Below are 25,093 nucleotides of genomic sequence, written 5' to 3' on the forward strand. Positions count from 1 at the left end.
CTCCAGGCAAGAATCTGAGCCTTGACCACAGCTCCCTCTCTCACACAGCTTCCTTCTTTGGTTAGAACCACCCGGAGGTGACTGTGGCCATGGCTCTGACTGACATAGACCTGCAGCTGCAGTTCTCCATGTCCCAACCCGAAGCCCTCCTTCTCCTGGCAGCAGGCCCAGCTGACCACCTCCTGCTGCAGCTCTACTCTGGACACCTGCAGGTGAGTGACGTCCCCCTGGGATTGGGGCGAGATTCCTTGTCTAGCTTTGAGTGAACCCCAGCTGGCTGTTGACCTTGTGTAAGTCACTTTTCTTGGGGTCTCAAGTTCTCCACTGTGGGATGGGCAGCAGCAGCTCAGAAATGGTAAATCCTTCATGAACTGGCTCTGCCCACCGGCTCCTTCCAACCATGTTTCCCACCACAAGCCCTCACTGGCCCTTTGTGCTCTGACTGCACTGAACTGCTTTCAGTTCCTGGCCATCTTATGGTCACTTGCTGCCAGGCCTTTGGTCATCACACTCCTCCTGCCAGGTGTGTGACCCACCCATTCCCTGTACCTGCCGAACTCTAGTCTCTCCTTGAAGTTTCAGTGTGGGCATCCCCTCCTCCTCGGCGAGACCCCCTCCTGGGCCCCCATGACCCCTGCGCATCCTGGTGGCACTGCACCAATTTATCTGCAGCACCACTGTCTGTCCATGAGAGTAACAGCACCAGTACTGCCTCAGCTTCATTTTTCCATTTCATCCTTCAAGACACCACAAGCTTTATTATCAAGGAGTCTTGTGGCTCCTACTTGAGTCTTACCCCATACCAGGAAGAGTTTAAGAACCCAGGGTCTTAGTCCAAATTTGGGGCAGGCTGGGTGCAGTGGCTTATGCCTATAATCCCACCACTTTGGGAGACCAAGGTGGAAAGATCACTTGAGCCTAGGAGTTCAAGACTGGCCTGAGCCACACAATGAGACCCCATCTCTATTTTAGAAGGAAAAAAAAAACAAATTAACAAATTTGGGGCAGCCATCTCTTTCCACACCCCAGTGGGAAGAGGACTAGGGCTTGGTCAGTCTGCTGCTGTCATTGCTGCTCATTGCCACAAGGTGTCACTGTTGAACACCTATGTGGTGCAGTCTGGTGCTGATGGCTGTTGAGCTCTGCAGGTAGTGATGCCACATCCCTACAGAGATGCACCATACCAGGACTCCAAGATCATGGTTCTTAGTGTTCTGCCTCTGCAGTTCCCATACTCTGCCATCACCTATTCTAGCATCTGGGAGCACCATACCAGAGCCATTTCTTGTGTCAATGTCATGGTGACAGAACTATGTCCTTCATCTCTCCTTGAGATATTCCTCCACCACAGGTCAGGCAGCTTTTTTTTTTTTTTTTTTCCCCAGAACACAGAGCATCTGCCTGGGCTCCCTGTCCCTGAACAGTTAGCCTGGCTTCCTTCAGTGACCTTGAGAAACTTTGCCAAACTTAGGGGGACTGATCAACGGATTCTCAGTTACCCATTATTCCAGGGGTGAAATCTAGATTCCAAGACAATATTTCTGGTGCTTTTCACTCAAGGAAAGAGGAGGAGAATTTAAAAATACAGGTTGGGTTTCTAGAAGAGCATCTTGCTATATGTCAGTTCCTTGTGGGCAAGGACCACATCTGATTCACACCAGGGTCCCCAGAGCCCATCCAGGCCTGGCCCAGAGTTTCCTTTGGTGAGTGTTTGGAGGATGAATAAAGAGATGGCAGGAAGGCAAGAGGAGTGGCACCAGAGGCCCTTGTCCTAGGTTTTCTGCTCTGGGGCCCCCTGTGGGGAACCCACTGTGCTTTTATAAGGGAAATGATGGATTCAAAGTGCTGCCCCCCATCTCCCATTCCCCGTCTCTCCTCAGGTCAGGCTTGTCCTGGGCCAGGAGGAGCTGAGGCTGCAGACCCCAGCAGAAATTCTACTGAGTGGCTCCGTCCCCCACACCACAGTTCTGACTGTCTCAGAGGACTGGCCCACATTGTCAGTCAATGGGTTTCTGAATGCCTCCTCCGTAGTCCTGGGAGCCCCCCTAGAAGTCCCCTATGGGCTCTTTGTTGGGAGCACTGGGAGACTTGGCCTGCCCTACCTGAGGGGAACCAGCCATCCCCTGAGGGGTTGCCTCCATGCAGCCGCTCTCAATGGCTGCAGACTCCTCCAGCCTCTGACCCCCAATAAGCATGAGGGCTGTGCTGAAGAGTTTTCTGCCAATGATGATGTGGCCCTGGGCTTCTCTGGGTCCCACTCTCTGGCTGCCTTGCCTGCCTGGGGCACTCAGGATGAAGGAACCCTGGAGTTTACACTCACCACACAGAGCTGGCAGGCACCCTTGGCCTTCCAGGCAGCAGGCTGGCATGGGGACTTCATCCATGTGGACATATTTGAGGGCCACCTGTGGTCCATGGTTGAGAAGGGCCAGGGTACTGTATTGCTCCTCAACAGTGTGCCTGTGACTGACGCACAGCCCCACAAGGTCAGCATCCACATCAACATTCACCAGCTAGAAATCTCCATGGACCAGTACCCCACACGAACTGAGGAGTCCTCAGCTACCTGGAGCCACGTGACAGTCTCCTTCTTGGGGAGCTGGTTGCAGAGGCCTCTCATCACCTCCAGGAACACCGCTCAGGCCTGACACCAGGGGCTGCCAATGCCTCCCTGCTGGGCTGGCTGCATGGAAGACCTCAGTGTCAATGGCTAGAGGCAGGGGCTGTGGGAAGCCTTGCTGACGCACAACATGGTGGCTGGCTGCAGACTGGAGGAGGTAGACAATGCCTATGGCCATTATGAAGCTTTCTCCACCCTGGCTCCCAAGGCTTGGCTGTCCGTGGAGCTAGCTGAGCCATGCGTGCCTGAGCCAGGGCTACCTCCTGTCTTTGCCAATTTCATCCAGCTGCTATCAGCGCAGTGGTGGTGACCGAGGGTGGCACAGCCTGGCTTGAGTGGTGGCATGTGCAGCCCATGCTGGCACTGATGGAGGCTGAACTGCGTAAATCCCAGGTGCTGTTCAGCGTGACCTGAGGGGCACACTACAGCGAGCTCGAGCTGGATGTCCTGGGTGCCCAGGCATGAAAAATGTTCACCCTCCTGGACGTGGTGAACTGCAAGGCCCGCTTCATCCACGATGGCCCTGAGGACACCTCTGACCAGCTGGTGCTGGAGGTGTCAGTGATGGCTTGGTTGCCCATGCCCTCATGCCTGTGGAGGGGCCAAACAGACCTCCTGCCCATCCAGGTCAACCCTGTCAATGACCCACCCCACATCATCTTCCCACATGGCAGCCTTATGGTGATCCTGGAACACACACAGAAGCCTCTGGGGCCTGAGGTTCTCCAGGCCTATGACCTGGACTCTGCCTGTGAGGGCCTCGCCTTCCAGCTCCTTGGCACCCCCTCTGGCCTCCCCGTGGAGCACCGAGACCAGCCTGGGGAGCCGGTGACTGAGTTCTCCTGCTGGGAGTTGGAGGCCGGCAGCCTAGTCTATGTCCACTGTGGTGGCCCTACACAGGACTTGACATTCCGGGTCAGCAATGGACTGCAGGCCAGCCCCCCGGCCATGCTGAAGGTGGTGGCTGTCCAGCTGGCCATACAAATCCACCGCAGCACAGGGCTGCATCTGGCCCAGGGCTCTGCCATGCCCATCTTGCCTACCAACCTGTTGGTGGAGACCAGCGCCGTGGGGCAGGATGTGACCGTGCTGTTCCGTGTCACCGGAGGCCTGCCGTTCAGGGAGCTGCAGAAGCAGGGGGCTGGTGGGGTGGAGGATGCTGAGTGGTGGGTCACACAGGCGTTCCACCAGCAGGATGTGGAGCAGGGCCACGTGAGGTACCTGAGCACTGACCCACAGCACTACACCGAGGACACCGTGGAGAACCTGGATCTGCAGGTGCAGGTGAGCTGGGAAATCCTGAGCAATCTGTCCTTCCTAGTGACCATCCAGAGAGCCACTGTGTGGATGCTGCAGCTGGAGCCACTGCACACTCAGAACACCCAGCAGGAGGCCCTCACCACAGCCCACCTGGAGGCCACCCTGGAGGAGGCAGGCCCAAGCCCCCCAACCTTCCACTGTGAGGTGGTTCAGGCTCCCAGGAAAGGCAACTTTCAACTACAGGGCACGATGCTGTCAGACGGTCAGGGCTTCACCCAGGATGACGTACAGGCTGCAGAGGTGACCTATGGGGCCATGGCACGTGCCTCAGTGGCAGTGGAGGACACCTTCTGTTTCCATGTCACAGCTCCACCATATTTCTCCCCACTCTGTACCTTCTCCATCCATATTGGCGGTGACCCAGACATGCCTGTCCTCGTGGTGCCCGAGGGTGGTGGGTGTGTCCTCTCTGCTGACCAGCTCTTCATCAAGAGTCTCAACAGTGCCAGGTACCTCTATGAGGTCATGGAGCAGCCCCGCCATGGGAGGTTGACTTGGCGTGGGACACAGGACAAGATCACTATGGTGACATCCTTCACCAATGGAGACCTGATGCATGGCCAGCTGGTCTAGCAGCATGATGACTCCGAGATCACAGAAGATGATATCCCATTTCCTGCTGCCATCAGGACCAGAGCAGTGGTGACGTGGCCTGGGAGGAGGTATGGGGTGTCTTCTGAGTGGCCATCCAGCCTGTGAATGACCACGCCCCTATGCAGACCATCAGCTGCGTCTTCCACGTGGCCTGGGGTAGGTGGCGGCTGCTGACTACAGACAACATGGCCTTCAGCAATGCTGATTCGGGCTTTGCTGAGGCCCAGCTGGTGCTGACCCACCAGGACCTCCTCTCTGGCAGTATCATGGCCACGGATGAGCCCATGCAGCCCATCTGCCGCTTCATCCAGGAGGGGCCTCAGGAAGAGGCGAGTCCTGTTCACACACTCAGGCTGACCACGGCTGGATCCCGCTGCAGGTGTCCGATGGGCAGCACCAGGCCATCACGGTGCTGGAGGTGCAGGCCTTGGAGCCTTACCTCTGTGTGGCCAATGGCTCCGGCCTCATGGTTCCTCAAGGAGGCCAGGGTACCATCAACATGGCCGAGCTCCACCTGGGCACCAACCTCAACATCTGCAGTAGGGATGAGGCCCACTACCACGTCACAGACAGCCCTCACTGGGGACAGTTGCTCCAAGCCACTCAGCCAGCCACAGCCTTCTCTCAGCAGGACCTGCTGGTTGGGGCTGTTTTCTATGGCCACAATGGCAGCCTCAGCTCCCGCAACACCCTGGCCTTCTCAATGGATGTGGGACCAGTGCACACAGATGCCACCCTACAAGTGACCATTGCCCTAGAGGGCCCAGTAGCCCCACTGAAGCTGGCCCAGCACAAGGAGATCTACATCTTCCAGGGAGAGGCAGCTGAGATCAGAAGGGACCAGCTGGAGGTGAGGAGCTGGAGGTGGTGAGCGGGGTGTGGACCAGGTAGAGGGCCTTCCTCCCAGCCTCCATGCCGGGAACACATGTGACTTGGGCTGTACCTGTGGTGGTCCCAGCTTGCGTGTGTGCACGTGCCTCAGATGTGCTCCCATATATGTTGTGTTCCCAAGAGTTTCTGGGGAGCTTGCTGTACACCCATCCTCCTGGGAGTGGTGTGTGCCTCTAGAGCTGGTGTCCACTCATGTCCATGGCATGGCTGAGCATGCAGATTCCTGGACGCCACCCAGCCCTACAGAATCTCTGAAGTGGAGCCCGAGAATCTGCATTGCAGTCAGTTCCCTGGGAGGGCATCACGGGTCCTGAACTTTTGGGATTGCTGGCCGTGGAGACAGGCCGCTGCCTCTCAGACCCCTGTGTACCCCGCTCTCTTCTCAGAGCCCAGACCAGGACCAGGAGGGTCTGTCAAGGGCTTCTGCTCACCCAGGAACCCCACAGAGCAGCCACGGGCCTTCCAGAGATCTGACATGCCCTGTGACCTCAGGCCAGTCCTTGCCCGCTCTCAGCCTTACTCTTCCACACTGCTTATTTCGGAGACCCTTCTGGTCTGCATCTGGAGCTTGGGGCCCATGGTGAGCCAGCAGATCTGGCATCAGGAAGGCCTCATGGGAGGAGGCAGTGTTTGGGCCGGGCTCTGAAGAGTACAGGCCATTAGGAGCAGAGAATGGGGAGTGGTATTCCACGCAAAAGGAACATTCCGGCCGAAGGCACAAAACAGGAATGTGAGTTTGGAGGCAGTTTAGCCTCTTGTGGATGGCCCATCAGGTGAGGGAGCCCATGTGGCCTTTGGGGTGTGAGCTCTGTAGGGCCTGTGCTGGGGGTGCCTGTGCCTCTAGGAGGGGTGGGGTGGGGTGGGGCAGGGCACCCTCTGATGGTCCTGGGTGGTAATAGCAGGGGTTGGGGAGGATGCTGCCAGCAAACCAGCCACAGGCCTGAACAGATCCTGAGCAGGGGGCCTGTGTGCGTGTGCACACACGCATGTGTACCTGTACCTGTGTGACTGCGTCAGCATCTGATGAACTCATATGTCTGTGTCACTGAGTCTGGGGACATGTGATTATGCACCTCCCTGAGGGAGTGCATCTCAAGCTGTTGACCGACACCCCGTAACCATGTGTGGGGTGGGTATTAACATGTGACCAGCTGGGGCAACCCAGTGAAACCCCATCTCTACACAAAACATTTAAAAATTAGCCAGGCATGGTGGCACATGACTGTGGTCCCAGCTACTTGGGAGGCTGAGCCCTTGAGCCTAGGACGTTGAGGCTGCAGGGAGCTGTGATCACACCACAGCACTCCAGCCTGGGTGACAGAGTGAGACCCTGTCTCAAAAAAACAAAAAATGTGACCAGCTGCATGTCTGGCTGCTGTGTGTGTGAACCCACATGTGTGTGTGTCACTAAATGAGCAGTGGTATCTGGGGAAATAAGTGGAGCAAGATCAAGGCTGTTCTGGCTGCTTAGGGCCACAGTGGGCCCCTCTGAGACCCCTCTGCATTCCCTTGTGAGTCCTCATGACCTCTGTTAACCAGGTAGCCCAGGAGGCAGTGCCGCCAGCAGACATCGTTTTCTCAGTGAAGAGCCCACCGAGTGCCGGCTACCTGGTGATGGTGCTGCGTGGCATCTTGGCAGATGAGCCACCCAGCCTGGACCCCGTGCAGAGCTTCTCCCAAGAGGCAGTGGACACAGGCAGGATCCTCTACCTGCACTCCCGCCCTGAGGCCCGGAGCCATGCCTTCTCGCTGGATGTGGCCTCGGCCTGGGTGCTCCCCTTGAGGACGTCACGTGGAGCTGGAGGTGCTGCCTGCTGTCATCCCCACTGGGGGCACAAAACTTCAGCAGTAGAGGGGGCACAGTCGCAGCTGCACCCTGGCCCCTCCACTGCTCCGCGTTGCCAGGTCCTACTTCCCCACTCTCCCGGGCCTTGGCCTGCAGGTGCTGGAGCCACCCCGGCATGGGGCCCTGCAGAAGGAGGATGGGCCTCAAGCCAGGACCCTCAGCACCTTCTGCTGGAGAGAGGTACGGCTGTGAGAGAGGCCCAGGGGCTGCAGCCCAGCTCTGGGGGCAGAGTGGAGGGAGCCCCGGGGACTCCCAGTCCAGGGGTTATACAGAGAGGAGACAGGGAGTCACATTTCAGAAAGACCTATGCTTTAGATGCTGTATCTCGGGCTGGGCGCTGTGGCTCATGCCTGTAATTCCAGGACTTTGGGAGGCCGAGGTGGGCAGATCAGGAGGTCAGGAGATCAAGACCATCCTGGCTAACACGGTGAAACCCTGTTTCTACTAAAAATACAAAAAATTAGCCGGGTGTGGTGGCCCGCACCTGTAGTCCCAGCTACTCAGGAGGCTGAGGCAGGAGAATCGCTTGAATCTGGGAGGCAGAGGTTGCAGTGAGCCGAGATCACACCACTGCACTCCAGCCTGGGCAACAGAGCGAGAGACTCTGTCTCAAAATAAAATAAAATATCCCCTTTCTTCCTCACAACTCCTCTGGGAACCAGAACTTATGGTCCCCATTTTCCACCAATGGAAGCTGAGGCCCTAAAAGGGTCAGTCTCTTCCTGCACCCAAAGGCAGAACATGAAGGGTACTGCTGGGGCCTGACTGCCAGCCCTGGGCCTGCCCCTAGGTGGAAGAGCATCTGATCCAGTACCTGCACGATGGGAGCAAGACACTGACGGTTTTGTCCTGATGGCTAATGCCTCTGAGATGGACCGCCAGAGCCATCCTGTGGCCTTCACTGTCACCATCCTGCCTGTCAATGGCCAACCCCCGACCTCATACAAACTCAGGCCTGCAGGTGAGCATATTCCTGGGACCACCCCCCATGTCTGCTTTGAGAAAGAGGCCAATGTCCCCTACTTCCCGGCACAGATCTCCCCCCCTCTGAGCCTCAGTTTCCTCCTCTGCAAAATGAGGACACTACTGTGTGCCTCACGCAGTTGTTGGAAGGAGAGATGTGAGATTGTGCTGAAATAGAACACAGGTGGGAGGTTTTGTTATTGGACATTTGCAAGTACGGTAGGCAGACTTCTGAGCAGCCATGGGTGGCTCTGCTGTTCCTTCTCCTGTGGCTTAGGACCAGAACACCTGAAAGAATCACTTACAAGCCCTTAAGGGCTGGCGTCAGGGTGGGACCGTTAAGCTTCCCACCTTCACCCCAGCAAGTGGAGGCCTCAGCTTGGCTTCCCAAACTCCTGCCCCTTGTCCACAGCAGAGCAGGGCCCCCATTTGGCAAAGGTGGAAGTTGAGGCCCAGAGATGGGATGGAACTTCTCCATGATTGCAAAAGTAGTTCTGGTGGAACAGAAAGGGCATGGCTTTACTAAGCCCACGTGGCAGGGCTTTGAACCCCAGCTTCTGGGGCGCGTCCTCCCCAGTCAGCAGAAGCCACTGAAGGTTCCGCAAGAGGGCTGACTTGGGCTGTCTCTGACATGGGGCACCGGGGGGCTTTGGTGGTCTAGGATGTGCCTGTAGGGGGTGGCCTCATGGTGCGGACGCCACAGAAGAGTGGGACACAGCACCCTGGAACCACAGGCTGGGATGGCTGTGTGGCAGTGCGGCCACCAGGTGGTGCCATCTACCCGTGTTTGTTCCGGGAGCCCAGTGATGGGGCCCTGCCTCCCACAGTATGGCCCCTCTTGCCAAGGCTCGGCCTGAGGGCTCCCTGCGGCCAGGGGAGGAAGCCCAGGAATGCCAGAGGGCTGTTTTCTGGGCATGTGAGTCCCACTGCAGCACTGCCCACAAGTAATTGACCCAGCAAGAGTGGTACCAGGACCTCAGGAACGGGTGCCTGTTCTGCTTGCTAGTGGGAGGCCTGAAAAGGGGCCCCCTTTGCCCAACACGAGGAGGGCCCGTAACTGCTCTGGAAGCACCTGGGCCCATCCCAGCACTGCTTCTGTGCTGCAGGACAGTGCCAACCATCAGGCTTCAGCTCTCTGCGCCTCCCACCCCTCCCTTAGCTGGAAGGAGTGCTCGTTTCTAAAATCACTGTTCCCACCTGTGCCCAGCCCCTGCCAGGCACACATGGAGGGTCTGAAAGGAGACTGCTGCCCCACCAGTGAGCTAGATTAAGGAGCACTGTTGGTCAGCGCTGGGGGTTTCTGGGGGTGAGAACTTGGTGACGGTAAGAGCTAGGGCCTTCCTGGGTTGGGTACACAAGCTGGTCTTGAGGGACACACAGGACTAGGACAGATGAAGAGCAGGGATGCTGGGCCTGGAGGGTGGCCTTCCCTGGGGTGACAGGGAAGGTGAATGCAGGGAGGCCATTTGTGCAGGGGAGCCACAGCAGCGCCAGCCTTGATGCCACCTGAGGGCCTGAGCCTCAGTGGGGTTGGAGCCCTGGTGGCAGCCCAGGGCCGGGGAGGAAGGGGTGGGTAAGTGTGGCAGGGCAGAACCTTCACAGGCCTGTGTCCCCAGATGTGGGAGGGGGCCACCGTGCCCATCCCTACAGAGGCTCTGAGGAGCACGGATGGTTACTCTGGGCCCAAGGACCTGGTGTACACCATTAAGCAGCCCAGCAATGGGTGGGTAGTGCAGTGGGCGGTGCCGGGCACTGAGGTGCGCAGCTTCATGCAGACCCAGCTGGATGGTGGGCTCGTGCTGTTCTCACACAGAGGTGGGTGCTGAGGGCCGAGCCCCAGGTTTCTGCTGCCCACGGGGGCACCCTGAGGTGGGGAGCCAGTTCAGGCCAGCTGGACCCAACACCCTTGTCCCCAGGGGCCCTGGACGGAGGCATCCACTTTGGCCTCTCTGACAGTGAACATACTTCCTCCAGACACTTAGCTTCTGAGTGACGGCCCAGAAGCAAGTGCTTCACTCGCTGGAGGGCAGCCGGACACTGACTGCCCAGGTGGGTGTGCTGATTGTGGGCGTTCCTGGGTGCGGGGGGCTGGGGCAGAGCTGAGGGTGGCATGCCAGGGTCACACTGCCTCTCTGCAGCCACAGGCCTCGGCCTGGATCACAAAGGCTGATGGCCCCTTTTGCCTCTGGCAGAGTCCGTCCAGCCACTCAGCAGCCAGAGCCTCAGAGCCAGCAGGCACCGACCCCCAGCTCCTGCTCTACCATGTGGTGCGGGGCCTCCAGCTAGGCCGGCTCTTCCACGCCCAGCATGACAGCACAGGGGAGGACCTGGTGAACTTCACTCAGGCAGAGGTAAGGGCCCCACTCTGCAGCCACCACTCAGATGCGCCCAGCCTCAGGTGGCCACTGTGCCATGGACATCATGTGGACATGGGCACCAGCTCCAGCATCACCGGCAGCAGACACTCCCAGGCCTGCCATGGTCCAGGACCTGGTGTCCTGCCCTCTAGGAGTCATCAGGCTGGCAGGGCAAGTTCATGTTCCCAGAAGGAGGGAGAAGAATGCAGGAAGTCGGGGATACAGGGCCCCAGAGCAGGGCTGGGGTCTTGGGGTGTGGCTTCCCGAAGGAAGCTAGAGCTGGACCCAAGGGTCTGGAGAGGGAGAACCATGTAGGGGCACTAGTGGCACCCCAGCAGCTGGTGAGGGGCAGTGCTTGGTGGGGGATGGAGTCGGAGGTGAAGCAGCTGCTGGGGCCTGTGGGCAGAGGTGTGAGCCTCGGGCTCAGATCAGGTGCCAGCCAGAGGAAGAGTGGATCCTAGGAGCAGATGAGCTGATGAAAGGCAGCTGAGTCGGCCAAAAGGGGGAAGCCACTGTTCATCTGTCCTGGTGGCTTCAGAGAAGAACTAGAGCTCTCAGCCATGGGTAGTGGCAGACTCTCTGTGGTAACTGTGCCATGGGGGCCAGCCCACTCATGGTTTAAATGAACACCTCTCCCCAAAGGCAGAATGGGAGTTGTTCCATAGCAGAGCAGGGCAGGGCAGGGCAGACTCTTGTGGGCCGCCCTGGGCAGGCAGCACACCTGATGCTCCCATCAGGAGGCTGCGTGAGCATCTGGACCCAGCACATGATCACAGTGAGTTCTCGGCAGGGAGCGGTCTTGTGGGGCGCAGAGCTGACTCTGTCACTCAGGAGCCACGGCACGCAGCACTGCCCCAAGTACCTCCAGAGGGGATCCCTGTCAGCCCTTGAAAATGGCAGAGCCCACCCCAGCCCCCTTTTCAAGCTCCCTTGCTTCGGCAAGGACCTCCTGAGCCTGGCGCTCTCCCTCCTGAGAGGTGCAGATGGTACTCAGCAAGTGCAAAGCCGAGGTTTCTTGGGCCTCTCACATCAGCACCTCCCAGACCTCGGTTCTGTATTTCCCTGGAGCTCCACTCCTGCTATGGTGCCCTTCCCACAATGAGATATTCATCAGGCTGGTGTCTACAGCTGCTGCGTACCCTCAGTTGCTGGGAGCCTTTGTCAAGAATGCCCAGGAATGAGGAGGGCACAGGACCCAGACCATCAGCAACCCTCTTGCACTCTATAGTCCCATGTTACTCAGAGCTTCCCCATGCTCCAGCAAGATGAAGGACTAGATTGAATGGGCACCAGGCTGGCAGTGCCACCCAGGAAAGCTGGGAAGAGGCTACATGGGCTACCTGGCCCACTCAGGGAGGAGGGCAGGACTGGGTATTGTCTTGACAGCAACCCTGTCCCACAACACTGAACTGGGCAGGGAAGGGGTCAGGTGTCCTCATTTTTCAGATAAGAAAACTGAAGCTCCCAGAGGGCAGGTAAATGTATTCAGAGCACATGGCGAGTAAGAGGCAAATCTTCTGCCAGCAAGTCCAGGATTTTTTTCACCAGAGGACATTGCTTGGTCCCCAGAGCTCAGGACCCTGTGTTTTGTCTCACTCCCACCCACAGAGCTCCTGTATCCAGGCATCAACTCCAACTCCCACTCCTGGAGGCCGAGGCAGGAGGATCACTTGAGCCCAGGAGTTCGAGACCAGCCTGGGCCACATAGTGAGACCTTGTCTCCACACAAAAATTTTAAAAATAGCTGGGCTTGGTGGTGGCATGTGCCTGTAGTCCTAGCTCCTCGAGAGGCTGACGTTGGAGGATCACTTTGAGCCCAGGAGGTGGAGGCTGCAGTGAGCAGTCATCACTGTACTCCAGCCTGGTGACAGAGCGAGACCCTATCACCGCCCCCCGCCCCACCAAAAAAAAACTGAGTAGACAGGTGTCCTCTTGGCATGATAAGTCTTAAGTCCCCTCCCAGATCTGTGACATTTGACAGGTGTCTTTTCCTCTGGACCTCGGTGTCCCCATCTGAGTGAGAAAAGGCAGTGGGGAGGTGGATCTTCCAGTCGAAGCGGTATAGAAGCCCGTGTGAAAAGCCATACTCCAAGGGGCTCCAAGTCCAGCGCACAGTCCCAGAAGGGCCCAGCAAGGCAGCCAGGGCGGCACAGGCACCAGGTCCCAACCTTCTTCCCTGTTTGCCCACTCTCAGACCCCGGAGTTCATCATCTCGGAGCTGCTGGCCAATATGTACTCATGTGGGAACCAGAACACACTGATGGAGGAGTTGGCAGAGCAGGCACAGCAGCACGACGAGATGCTGCACATGCACCACGCGCTGAAGGAGGCGCTCAGCATCATCGGTGACATCAACAGGACCACTGTCACCATGCCCATGCCCCCGCCCGTGGACGACACCTGGTTGTCAGAGCATCCCTGACGAACACAGGTACCAAAGACTGCCCCCCACGGCCCCAAAATCCCCCACCCGGGATGCCCAGAGGAGTGCCCTGGGGGCAAGTGGCACACCCCCTCACCGGGGTGGCTCCCACCTGGAGTGACGGGGGGAGCTTGACAAGGAGCACTGGCTGCGGGGGGGGGGGGGGTGTGGAGCTGGGATGTTCTCGCTGCTGGGGGCGGGGCTTAAGCTCTGGCAACTGCCTTGGGGTGTGGCCGGCACTGCGCTGGGGCGGGGTCGCCCATCTCTCCCCTCCCTGTGCCTCCCAGGTCGCCCAAGTCCAGCGTCAGGATGCCCAGGCCCTGCCATGTCCCTAGCCCGGCCTGGGTGGCAGGGCCCAGCTCCTGGGCGGCAGGACCCAGCTCCTGGGCTTCCTCCTGCCGGGTCCGCCCTTGGGGAAGCGTGCCCCATACCCTCCAGGCCAGAGGCTTCCCCTGATCCCTTTGGGCCCTACCCCCCTGGTGCTCTCGTGCCCCAGCCGGGGTCCCCAGGTAAGTAGGGGCTGAATGCGGCTGAAGAGGCCGCTGGACAGGCGTGGCCAGGAAGGAAATGGGACTGGATTCCAGAGCACCACATCTGGCCGCCAGAACTGGCCGTCTCCATCCAAGGCACTGGGACCATGGGTGCCGGAGCCACGTGTGGCCGAGGGCTGGCAGAGCCTGCCCCCCAGGGATCACTGAGTCCTGGAGGTGGTCGTTTTTGAGGAGGGGGCTGTGGGGCTCGTCCCACCTGCCGCCTTCTGTCCAGCACTTGCATGACACTTCCCTCTATTTTCACTCTTGGCGGCTGCCCACACTTTGCATTTCTCTTCCTTTCTTCTCGCTGTCCTCCATCCTCCATTCCGTCCAACTCCTAGCCCAGTCCCGGGGGCGCCTACTTCAGGTCTGAGAGTCTGAACTCCGAGATGCTCTGGGTGTGTGGATTTCCTTCAGCTACCCTGATGTCCCCACTTCCAAGTCCTGACTCCTTTGAGCCATCCCAGGGGGTGTCCGGCCACTGGACCACAGGAGCAGAGGCGAGTCTGTGACTGTGTGACCAGCAAGGTGTGTGATGTGTGCGTGAGCGAGCACACGAGTGTAAAGAATGGCACCCAGACCTGAGCTAGGACAGAGGGAGCCTGGGGGCCACAGGCAAGCTCATTTCTTCTCCACACCCCTCCCCGCCCGACCCTGTCTAAACTAATGGGGTAGTGGTAGCCGCGAGGGCAGGGATGGGAGTGGCTGAAGCCTACTTCACTCCCAAAGATTTCTAAGGAAAATGGTTCTACTGCATCCTTTGGCTGGGCCTTGTTGACCCGTGACCCTCTTTCAAGAACATTCACTCTGATTTCCAGTGTGCCGTCTCCACTGGCCACGTTCTCTAAGGAAGAACAATAGCATCTGTTTTTGTTTCCAAATGGCTGGAGAGTGGGGCTGTGGGACCAGCGCCCATATATAAAAATGAAGCAGGGATTGGGGCTTGCCCTGTGATGTGCTGTTGACCAAGTTAGAGGGGTATAGGCAAGCAGCAAAGTATTGGGCAAGATCACTGGACTGGGAGTCCAGAGATGCTGCTTCACCCTGGGGCTTTAGGCAAGTCCCTTTCCCTCCCAGAGCCTCAGCATCCCTTTTAGCAAATTATGACATTCTGCCTTTCTCCTAGGATGGCTGTGGGGATCAAGGGAGACAGTGGCCATAGGGATGCTATGTTAACCGCAGATGCGGCTGTAGGAGCACTTTGCTAACTGCCAACGTGAGTTCAGACTCTTCAGGCTATTTGGCACCCAGGTCTATGGTGAGGTGTGACATATGGGATGTAAAGTTTGATGCCTGCTCTGACTCCAGTCTTGCTAACACACACACGAAACCTTTGGCAAATCATGACCCTGCCTTGGGGAAAAGGGCAGTCTGGGAGAGCTTCTTCAAGGCAGCCTGGCTTCAATGCAGTCCGGGGCATGACTGAGATAGGCATACGTTGTGAGGAACTGGAGGGTAACTGGGTAAAGAGCTGCAGTGTGGGCAGAGGTGTAGTGTGGGTCACATTGAGGATAGCCACTGGCCAAAGCAGGGAACAGAGACAGAATGAGGAAGAGCTCTGTGGGGAGGGTGGGGCACAGGGTGGAGAACCTTCAAAGTCCAAAGAGTATGACTTGTTGGGATTCAACGCTGTAGGCAGTAGGGAGCCATGGAAGGCTCTTAGGTGGAGAAATGACAGCCGGACATTAGTGAGCAAGCCCTGTCTCCCTGAGCAGGATGGGTGGTCCTCTGAGCACGCCAGGCACGAGTGTGCAGGGAGCTGGTGCAAATGCCTCTGTGTGCAGGTGAGCATCTGTGTTGTGACTCTGCCCACGCATGTGCTTCAGTGTGCCGAGTGGCTGCACGCCCCAGATCCATGCGGCACGTGCCGGCTGGTGAGGGTGTTGGGCACCGGGAGGTGGCGGAGAGGGCGACGTATGCGTGTTGTTTGTGGGCATGTGTTAGAGTGTGCATGCGGGCCGTGGGGCCTCACAGCATGTGTGTGCACAATCTGGCGTGTGCGTGTGTCCGCCACCCCCAGGCCTGCCCCACCCATGCATGGGACCTGCCATGTGATTTGATGCTGTCTTTCAGAATCACTATCAGTGGCCCCTGAGGAGCATCAGCCATGGTAGGTACATGCCTCACTGCCTGCTGCATGAATGGTCTGCCCGCCCCGCTGCCCCAGCTCCACACAGGGGGCATACCTGGAGCCTCAGAGCCAGGCTGCCTGCCCCTCCCTTCTAGAGCTGCAGACTTGCTCTTTCCTCTTTCTGTCCTTGTGCTGCTGGCTGTCTCACTTCCCTCCCTGCCAGCCACAGGACTCAGTGCCACTGCTCAAGGTCTCCATGGCTGAGCCTGGGGGCTCTTACAACAGGCTCCATGCCGAAGGTGGCAGATGTGGAACCATCAGAGAGGGCACAGAGCTCATGGTTTATGGTGTAGGGGCTGGGAGCTTGGAGGGGGTTGTGTGGGGGGCTGGACTCAGGCGGCCAGAGGCCTGGGCACATCATCCTGGGCACGCCGTACCTGTCATGCAGTCTGAGTCATGCTGCCAGGGCAGGTATCCAGCTCCCAGCCTGGGAGTGCCGAGAGCCAAATCCACTGCAGATTAGGGGTGATAGTCACGGTCCCACGTCCTCTATCTGTCAGCAATCCAGTGGTGATCTAGGATAAAAGCCTGAGAGTCCTATACACACGGTTATCCCACAACACACTTCATAGGCCATGCAAGGACACACAGCCCCCTTCCCTCCCTCCCAGGTACCATCACAGCTGCTAGCATGTGACTGAAGGCTGGGTCCCTGGCCAGCACTACTGAAGCACTACTGCCAGCCAGCAGGCTCACGGACCTTGGCCTGTTGCTCCTAGGGGTCACCTGTGCTATTCAGCCAAGGAGACCACAGTGCTTGCTGGCCCAGCTGAGCTCCGCCTAGCGAGCCCACCTGCCTTTCCTGCCACGGAGTCTCCCTCTTCTGCTTTTCCCAGCAGGAAGGGCCCAGCCTCACCTATGCAACCTGCAGCCCCCCGCCAACCAGTTGAGGTTCCCCTCTTAGACTTATAAGTCTATGGGCAGTGGCATCTAGCTACCTGCCCTCCCTGCCTTCCCCAGGGTCCCTTCAGTGGACCCTGGGCTTTCTGACTGCCCAGAGAGGGGCCTCTGGCGCTCACTCCAGCCAGCCATCCCTTACAGCTTCACCATTTTGGTTCAAGCAGTGTTCCTTCTGTCAGGCTTGGTGGCTGTTGGGTGGGGCTCCCCAAGCAAGAGGTGGCCCTGGGCCAGTGGGTTGGAAGATGGGGTGACCACAGAAGAGGGAAGCCGGGGGAGTTGAGCATTGGTCTGAACTGTGGGTGGACTGCCTGGGTGCCATGAGAGAGGCCAGTGTGTGTGGGGTGGGGAGGACTGCCACAGCCCCCAGGCACTACCTATGAAGCTCCGGCTTCTCCCTCCATCTTCCTCCCCTTTCCCTTCCAGCCCCTCTTTTCCAGGAACCTTGCCACGCCCACACCTACGCCTTCCCCTTCCCGGCTCTCAGATGATGGTGGTGTTTATCTCCCTGTTCTTGGGAGCCCAAAAAGAATGGCATGCAGGGGTTGCTGCCCATGCCTGGGTGCTCCTGGGGAGTCCTGCATTACAGGAAGCAGCTGCTGGATCTGCTGTGCAGTGGGGTTGTCGTGGGGAGAACCCTCCCTGTCCTCTCCTGGTGCAGCCTCCACGCTATCAGTGAGGCTCACCTCACAAAGATCTTCAGAGAGAGGGAGGGGGGGTGGGAATCTGAGCACAGTGTGAGCCTCCCCTGCTCCTGCCTGCCCACCCCGCCTGAGGGCTCTACTCACCACCCTGCTCGTCAGCACACCCAAGCTCCTGGGCTATTGGGGCTCCTAGAGTGGGCTCATCAGCAGGGTTCTGGGCAATGGTCAGAATTTGCCATGCCCCTCCTTGTGGTCTCCCACAAGCTGCAACACCTGCCCCGCAGCTCCTGCAGGTTCACCTGGAGGAAGGGGTGTTAGCTGCCATGCCGGTGCCAGCACGCACGTTCACACCCACCCCCACCCTCCCCCACCGAGATGTTGCACACCCTACCTTCATCTCCTCCTGGTCCTGGGCCAGCCTGACGATGTCCTCCTCTCCCAGTGCTGCGTCTCTGACACTGCCCCCTGGCTGATGTACTTTCCTGCAGGAGGACATGGCTCAGATGCTGGGGCCCCTCGGACGGCCTGGCAGCTCCCCCCAGCGGTGCCCTAGCCTCTCACTCCCTATGGTGTCTGTCTGTCCTGAGAGGTGGATGAATTGAAGCTCTAGTTTCTCTACCCGCTCCTTCAGGTCCACCTTCTCCTTCCATAAAGTCGCTGTGGAGCCAAAATAATGGGGTCACATGTCAGGAGTCACCTGCCTTGTCCTGCCCCCCCGCCCCCCTTGTTGGCCCATGCCAGGACCTACTCACCTGCAGCTTCTCCATGGCCCCCTGCAGGGCCCGGTGGGTCTCCCCAAACACAGACTCACCCCCACTCTCTGGGGCTGGGGCCGCTACCTCTGGCTTTTTCTGGGACGAGGCCACTGGGTGAGCCAGGGGCTGGCAGCACACCCTTTGTTCCTCCTGGGCATTGGCTCCAGCGGAGTTGAAAAATGCCACCTGAAGACAAGAGGTGAGTATTCTTGTAGGGGTATACACATAACAACTGGGGCAGGCAGATGGAGCATAGCCCCTTCCTTTCGGGCCTCACAGAGTGCACCTGTTGGTCACAGGTGAAATGGTGTCTGACCACTGGCTCCCAGAAGCAGAGAAAGTCCACAGAAGTCAGAAGGCGGGGAAACCAAGAACATAAGGGGGTTTCGGAGGGACCACAGAGGAAGGTGGCAAAGTAGGGGCAGGGAAAGTCAGGCTCACCATGGCCTCCCGGCTCTCCAGGTCCCCTGGGATGTTCGGCATGGGCCGAAGCGCCTCCTGCTCACTGTCCAGATGTCCTCCTCCATCTCCTGTGGGGGGTGGCCAGAGGGGTCCTCAGACAACCCAACAAGGGAGGTACAGTGGGCCCGCCTCTGCCCCCACACTCACTGTGTAACCTTGAGCCAGCCCCTCCCCAGAGGGGAATGAGCTGTTCTTTATTTTGAATTTTAAGAACCAAGATCTTGCTATATTGCCCAGGCACAGTCCCACTACCGATTGGTGCAGGAATTCTGACCTGCTCCCTTTCTGACCTGAGCCAGTTCTCCCATCCTTAGGCAAGCCGATGACCTGTTCCCAGGAGGTCACCATACTGATACTGAACTTAGTGCGGACACCTTGTCGGCATAATGACCGACACAAAATGCTTAAAAGGTAACCTGACTCTTTGTTCAGGGCTCAGTCCTTTAGATGTTAATCTGACTGGGCCGGTGCACCTAAATAATATATATCCTCCTCAGTCTCTCTGATTCCTAAATTATGCTGCTGTACGGGGAGAGAGGCAGCAGGGTAGTGGAGTCATACCAAGCAACAAGACAGGGTAGTGGCCAGGCATGGTGGCTCACACCTGTAATCCCAGCAATTTGGGAGGCCAAGGCGGGTGGATCACCTGAGGTCAGGAGTTCGAGACCAGCCTGGCCAACATGATGAAACCCCATCTCTACTAAAAACACAAAAATTAGCTGGGCATGGTGGCAGGTGCCTGTAATCCCAGCTACTCAGGAGGCTGAGGCAGGAGAATTGCTTGAACCCAGGAGATGGAAGTTGCAGTAAGCCAAGATTGTGCCATTGCACTCCAGCCAGGGGGACAAGAGGGAGACTTCACCTCGAAAGACAGACAGACAGGCTAGTACGTTTTCCACAAATTTCAATTTTACTCTCTTCCCCCACCACACACACACACACAAAGCATTTGAGGGATGGGAGGAAGAAACTGAGATCACAGGGAAAATTGTAAGAGACATTCAGAAGGACAGGTCTTAGAAATTTACTAGTTTGGGGGGGAGGTCAGAACAGGTGTATATAAAAGAATATTAAGACAGTTCCCAGGTTTAGGCATATGTGACTAGATAGAGTGCTAGGAGATGGATACGTGAAAATTTAAATATCATCATTTTGAACACCCATGTCACTCCAAGTGAGATTCCCTAAATATATGATATACAGACAGATATATGGGTTTGAAACTCTGGAGATGAATACAAATTTAGGAGTCCCTGGAACACAGGTCATGACTTAAGTAATGGGAGTCAAAGATTACTCAGAGAAAGCACAGAATGAGAAGAGAAGAAGTAGGACAAGGAAGAAGAGATCGGAGGAGACCAAGAAAGGGTGATAAGATCAAAACAGGAGAAAAGAATCCGACAGAAGTCTCATTTGATTATCATGTCCCTTCCCAGAGGACAGGGACATGTCTTTTTTGTCTTTTATACCCAATTATCACAGGTCCTGGTGCAGCAGACACACAGTTTTTTTTTTTTTTAATTGTGTTGTACTATTCACAGTTTCCTGTATTCACCAGGGGAGAAAAAAGTAAGTATAAAGAAGCACAGACACAGATGTTTTTACACTGTGTACTAAAGGGGTCAGATTATACACAATATTTTATGCCTTACTTTTTTACTTAATATATCTTAGAAGTTTGCACGTGCTCTTATGGAAAGACTGGCTGCATTTTTTGGTCCACAACAGAACAACAGAATATTATAAAACGGTACACTATAATTTTTATTTAACCAACTCTTTATTGGTGGACATTAAGAATGGAGGAATGTTTCAACAAAGGAACAATCAACAGTATCAAAATACTGCAGAGGGGTCAATTTGGGGACTAAGAGGGGAGCCACTGGATTTGACAACTAGGAGATAAATTTTAGTGCAACGATGAAGGCAGAATCCAGAGTATAATGAGCTCAGTGAAAAAAGGTGAAGACATGTAGCTTATTCTCTCAAGAAACTAGGCTATGATAAACTGGCAGAGGCTCTAAGAGTGGGAGGTGAGTTGTTTTCTCCTTCATGTAAATATATTTACCTTTTAAACACTAGGCCCAATTTTATATCCTATTTCATTTAACTTTATGAACATATTTATGTATGTATGCATGTATGTATGTATCTCATGTGGTGTTTTAGACACTGAAAAATAACTCATTTCTATTATAAAACTGATATCTTTAGATGTTCAGAAGCAACTTCCTAAAAGGAGGTAGCAGTAATGGAGCTATGTCTATCATTCTTTCCCATCAACCCCCTTGATGGAGATGTAAACATGTGTCCATCAAGCCTTTAATTTTTACCTCTTATCTTCATGGCTCTCCATATAAAACTTAACTCTTTTTTTTTTCTATTTGTATATGTATATTTATATGTATATCTATATCGAGAGAGAGAGAGAGAGAAAGAGTCTTGCTATGTTGCCCAGGCTGATCTCAAACTCCTGGGCTCAAGCAATCCTCCCACCTTGGCCTCGCAAAGTGCTGGGATTACAGGCGTGAACCACTGTGCCCAGCCTCAGCCTTAACTCTTAAAATATCTTCAAACCAATATTCTTCTGTTCTAATTTTTAAGAATAGATGTGTTTAAACCAACTAACTTATTTTGACAAAAATTGGAGTTAAGACTCAGACTTCCTCAAATAGTTCTCCTAAAACCATTTACAGAATAATCTATCTTTTCAGTATTAAGTTAAAATACCACCTTTTCCTTATACTAAATTCTCGTTTGCATGACTCTGGTTCTAAACTTCCATTGCCTTTATCTGTCTGGCCCAGGGATAGTCCACAATATTTTATTTACTATCTGGTTGAAAGAGTCTATACTTTATTAATTTTTATTACTTATTCTTCTAAACAAATTTTAGAGTCGTTTTGTCAAGTGTCAAAAATAAATCTGCCAGAATTTGTACTGAAATTTGTGTGTGTGTGTGTATATATATAATACACACACACTATATATAAAATATAAAATGTATATATACAATTTATATATATAAATATTTATAAAATATGAAATATATATATATACACACACACTTTTCTAGTTTTTTTTTTTTTTTTTTTTTTTTTTTTGAGACAGGGTCTCACTCTGTCACCTAGGCTGGAGTTCAGAGGCATGATCTCGGCTCACTGCAACCTCTGCCTCCCAGGCTCAAGTGCTCCTCCCACCTCAGCCTCAGAAGTAGTTGGAAATACAAGTGTGTGCCACAGACACCCAGCTAATTGTCATCTACCCGCCTCAGCTTCCCAAACTGTTTGGATTACAGGTATGAGCCACTGTGCCCAGCAGAAATTACATTTACAAATTAATATGAAGACATGGTGATAACTAACATATTTATAACATGAAATCTGCTCATCCAGGAACATAGAATGCAAATCTTTCATTCCACTCAGCAAAATTTTGTCCTGTCCTTGATAAAAGTCCTGCACATCTAAGTTTATTCCTAGGTATTTAATTTTTGCTGAAATACCTGAAAAAATACTTCATCACTATATCTTCTATGTGATTATAGCTAACATTGGGGAAGGCTATTGATTTTTATATAAAAGAACTTTTAACCAGTAATCTTAAAAATTGTTTTTTCTCAGTTGGTTCCTTTGGATATTTTTAGGTAAACAATCATGTCAACTGAAAATAATGATTATTTTTCTATAAAGACTATGACATCACAGGAAAATACAGTAAATACTTTTTAAAAGAATATAAAAGGGCCAGGCACAGTGGCTCACGCCTGTAATCCCAGCACTTTGGGAGGCCAAGGTGGGCAGACCATGAGGTCAGGAGATCGAGACCATCCTGGCTAACACGGTGGAACCCCATCTCTACTAAAAAATACAAAAAATTAGCCGGGAATGGTGGCGGGCGCCTGTAGTCCCAGCTACTGGGGAGGCTGAGGCAGGAGAATGGTGGGAACCCAGGAGGTGGAGCTTGCAGTGAGCCGAGACCACGGCACTGCACTCCAGCCTGGGTGACAGAGCAAGACTCTGTCTCAAAAAAAAAAAAAAAAAAAAAAAAAAAAATATATATATATATATATATAAAAAACTATAGAGAATATGACCTCAACTATTAAGCATATGTGTAAGGGTTATGTATTTTAATAGCAAAGAAAAAATATATACTGGTAGAAAATGACCATCATGTCAACAGTCAATAGTGGTTATATTAGATAGAGAAATTATGGGAGACTTTAATTTTTTTCTTTTATCTTTTCTGTACTTTACCAATTTTCTCAACAATGGTTGCTTATGAGTTTTAAAATTAAAAAAAGGTTTTAAAAATTTTTCCAACATGGAAAGTTATATTTCTTTATATACTAAAACAAAAACAAAACTTTCTATTTGAATACCTATGGCAAAACCCTATCTCTACAAAAAATACAAAAAATTAGCAAGGTGGGGTAGTACACACCTGTAGTCCCAGCTACTCTAGAGGCTGAGGTGGGAGGATCACCTGAGTCCCCAGAGAATGAGGCTCCAGTGAGCCGTGATCATAGCACTGCATTCCAGCCTGGGAGACAGAGAAAGACCCCATCTCAAAAAAAAAAAAAAAAGAAAGAAAGAAAAAAGAAATATCCACAATGATCTGAAATGCCTATCTGTATGAGACTGTCCTTTGTTCACATTTTTTCAAGCAAATATCACACAATAAATTGAATGCAGGTACAAATGACATATCAAACATCAAAGAAATTTGCAAAAGATGTAAGACTGTACTACCTTGGGTTTAGAAATTTTCTTATCATAAAAGCATTTATAACAATATTTTGTGAGCTTTTAAGGAATATTTTAAGTATTTCTGATTTAATTTCTAGTGATAAATACCAATAGATATAACCCACATACACAAAAGCTCCTTGGGCCCTCAATATACTTTTAAGAGTGTAAAGGAATCCTGACCCCAAAACTTTGAGAACTGCTGCCTTCCCCTCTACTTTATTCCTTCCCTAGAATTTCTTCCTTGGAAGAAACATTCCTTTGCCATTCTATGTTAACTTACATAGTTCCATTGAGGCCAGTTTTGCTACCTCTCTCCCATCTTTCCACATCCCTCTCTTGACACAAAACCTGACCAAAGGACTCTACCGGCCCGCCCCATTTCCAGTGATTAGCTGTCAGGTGGGCTAAGCCAAGAAAATCTGGGTTTTCCCTGAGACTAGACCTCTCTTTCTGGGAGATACGGAATCACAGGGACAAGGCTGGCCCTGTCAGAATTCATCTTGTCTAAATGGGAAGAGGTTAGGCAAGTTTCTAGAATGCCAGACTGCTTTCTAGAAAGTCAAAGATAATTATACTTTCTGCCACGACTGTGAAAATGCCCATTTCATTGCACGCTTTCTAACATTTATACCAATCTGATAAATAAAAGCTGGTACCTAGAAGAAAAAAAGGCTGGGTATGGTGGCTCATGCCTGTAATCCCAGTACTTTGGGAGACCAAGGTGAGTGGATCACCTGAGGTCAGGAGTTCGAGACAAGCCTGGCCAACATGATGAAACCCCATCTCTAGTAAAAACACAAACATTAGCCGGGCATGGTGGCAGGCCCCTGTAATCCCAACTACTCGGGAGGCTGAGGCAAGAGGATCACTTGAACCTGGGAGGTGGAGGTTTTAGTGAGCCAAGATCATGCCATTGCCCTCCAGCCTGGGTGACAAGCTGAGACTTTGTCTCAAAAAAAAAAAAAAAAAAAAAGTTTCCATACAATATAATTTGTTCCATCTCTAAAAACCAATTCAGCAATAACTGAAAGCCACCACTTGGAAGGTTTCAAGGATTTAGCTCTACCTGTTGATGATGTCCAAAGCATTAGTTAAGGTAGAAAAAAAATACACACACACACACACACACACACACACACACACACACTCACCCCTATGTAGTCAGTACCAGGAAACACGAAAGACTAGATGGTACAGTCATCCAACACAAAGCACACAATAACTGAAGGCACTGTAGAGGAGTAACTTATGACACAGATCTACAATATTGAGTGAAAATGCAGATTACAAAAAAAAAATCTGATTTTTTAAGGGAGAGGGAACACATACAAGCAAAGGAGAAAAGAGATGAGCAGATGACTGAAAGATACAAAATTCTGATAGTGGTACATTCTGAGTGGTAGAATTATCAGTATTATTTTCTAGTTTTGCCTAAAAATTTTCTAAATTTCTTAAGAACTTTTTGTTATCCATATTATCAAATATCCATCACCCCAGGAAACTTAACCTTGAGCACAAACTCTACAACAAGTTCAATGTTTGTTCAGTTTAATATTTAAGAGACAACCTATTTTGAAAGACATCTAAAATGATGACCAATATTTAAACCTATGCATTAATATTTTTCAATCATATCCTTCACATTTTGTAATTTTGATAAGGTTAAGCTTTAGATCCATCTTGAAAAGATAAGCTTTCTGTTTGTCTTTAAAATATGACCCACAATATGCCTGTTTTTAAACAGTGAATGATGCTCTAAAATCACAATATAAATTCAGGCAGTGCTCCTTACATGGAAAGTTTAAGTACTTCTAACACTGCTCTTTTTCACTTGTTATGAAAACACAGAACAATTATCTAAGCATCTAATTATTCAGGTCCTTTGTTTCTCCTCCAATCTATTA

At 53.2% G+C, this 25,093-nt stretch overlaps 2 pseudogenes across 3 annotated transcripts in view, besides 1 other annotated feature; one reads left to right on the top strand and one right to left on the bottom strand.

Annotated features, from left to right (window-relative positions):
* CSPG4P10 (chondroitin sulfate proteoglycan 4 pseudogene 10) lies at nt 44–10,587 on the top strand (annotated as a pseudogene).
* Nucleotides 9,144–9,644: an enhancer, noted in NCBI's record as "H3K4me1 hESC enhancer chr15:83137289-83137789 (GRCh37/hg19 assembly coordinates)". NCBI's record gives its function as "activates a minimal SCP1, AML or CMV promoter by ChIP-STARR-seq in naive H9 embryonic stem cells {active_cell/tissue: H9 hESC(naive)}" and the evidence as "EXISTENCE:reporter gene assay evidence [ECO:0000049][PMID:30033119]".
* GOLGA2P10 (GOLGA2 pseudogene 10) overlaps nt 12,054–25,093 on the bottom strand; it is a 42,523-nt pseudogene continuing 29,483 nt past the window's right edge. Inside the window, exons 2-8 of one of the 3 annotated variants that reach the window (NR_026811.3) lie at nt 18,415–18,503; nt 17,971–18,159; nt 17,780–17,875; nt 17,610–17,700; nt 17,363–17,517; nt 16,055–16,192; nt 12,054–14,058 (exon numbers count right to left, since the gene is read on the bottom strand). The product of NR_026811.3 is annotated as a GOLGA2 pseudogene 10, transcript variant 1 (transcript). Of the gene's footprint in view, nt 14,391–16,054; nt 16,193–17,362; nt 17,518–17,609; nt 17,701–17,779; nt 17,876–17,970; nt 18,160–18,414; nt 18,504–25,093 lie in introns of all 3 variants that reach the window. The other 2 variants (NR_103496.2, NR_033936.3) reach the window with 2 other exon arrangements.

The sequence above is a fragment of the Homo sapiens genome, chromosome 15 (genome assembly GCF_000001405.40).
Source record: "Homo sapiens chromosome 15, GRCh38.p14 Primary Assembly".
NCBI classification, from domain to species: Eukaryota; Metazoa; Chordata; class Mammalia; order Primates; family Hominidae; genus Homo; species Homo sapiens.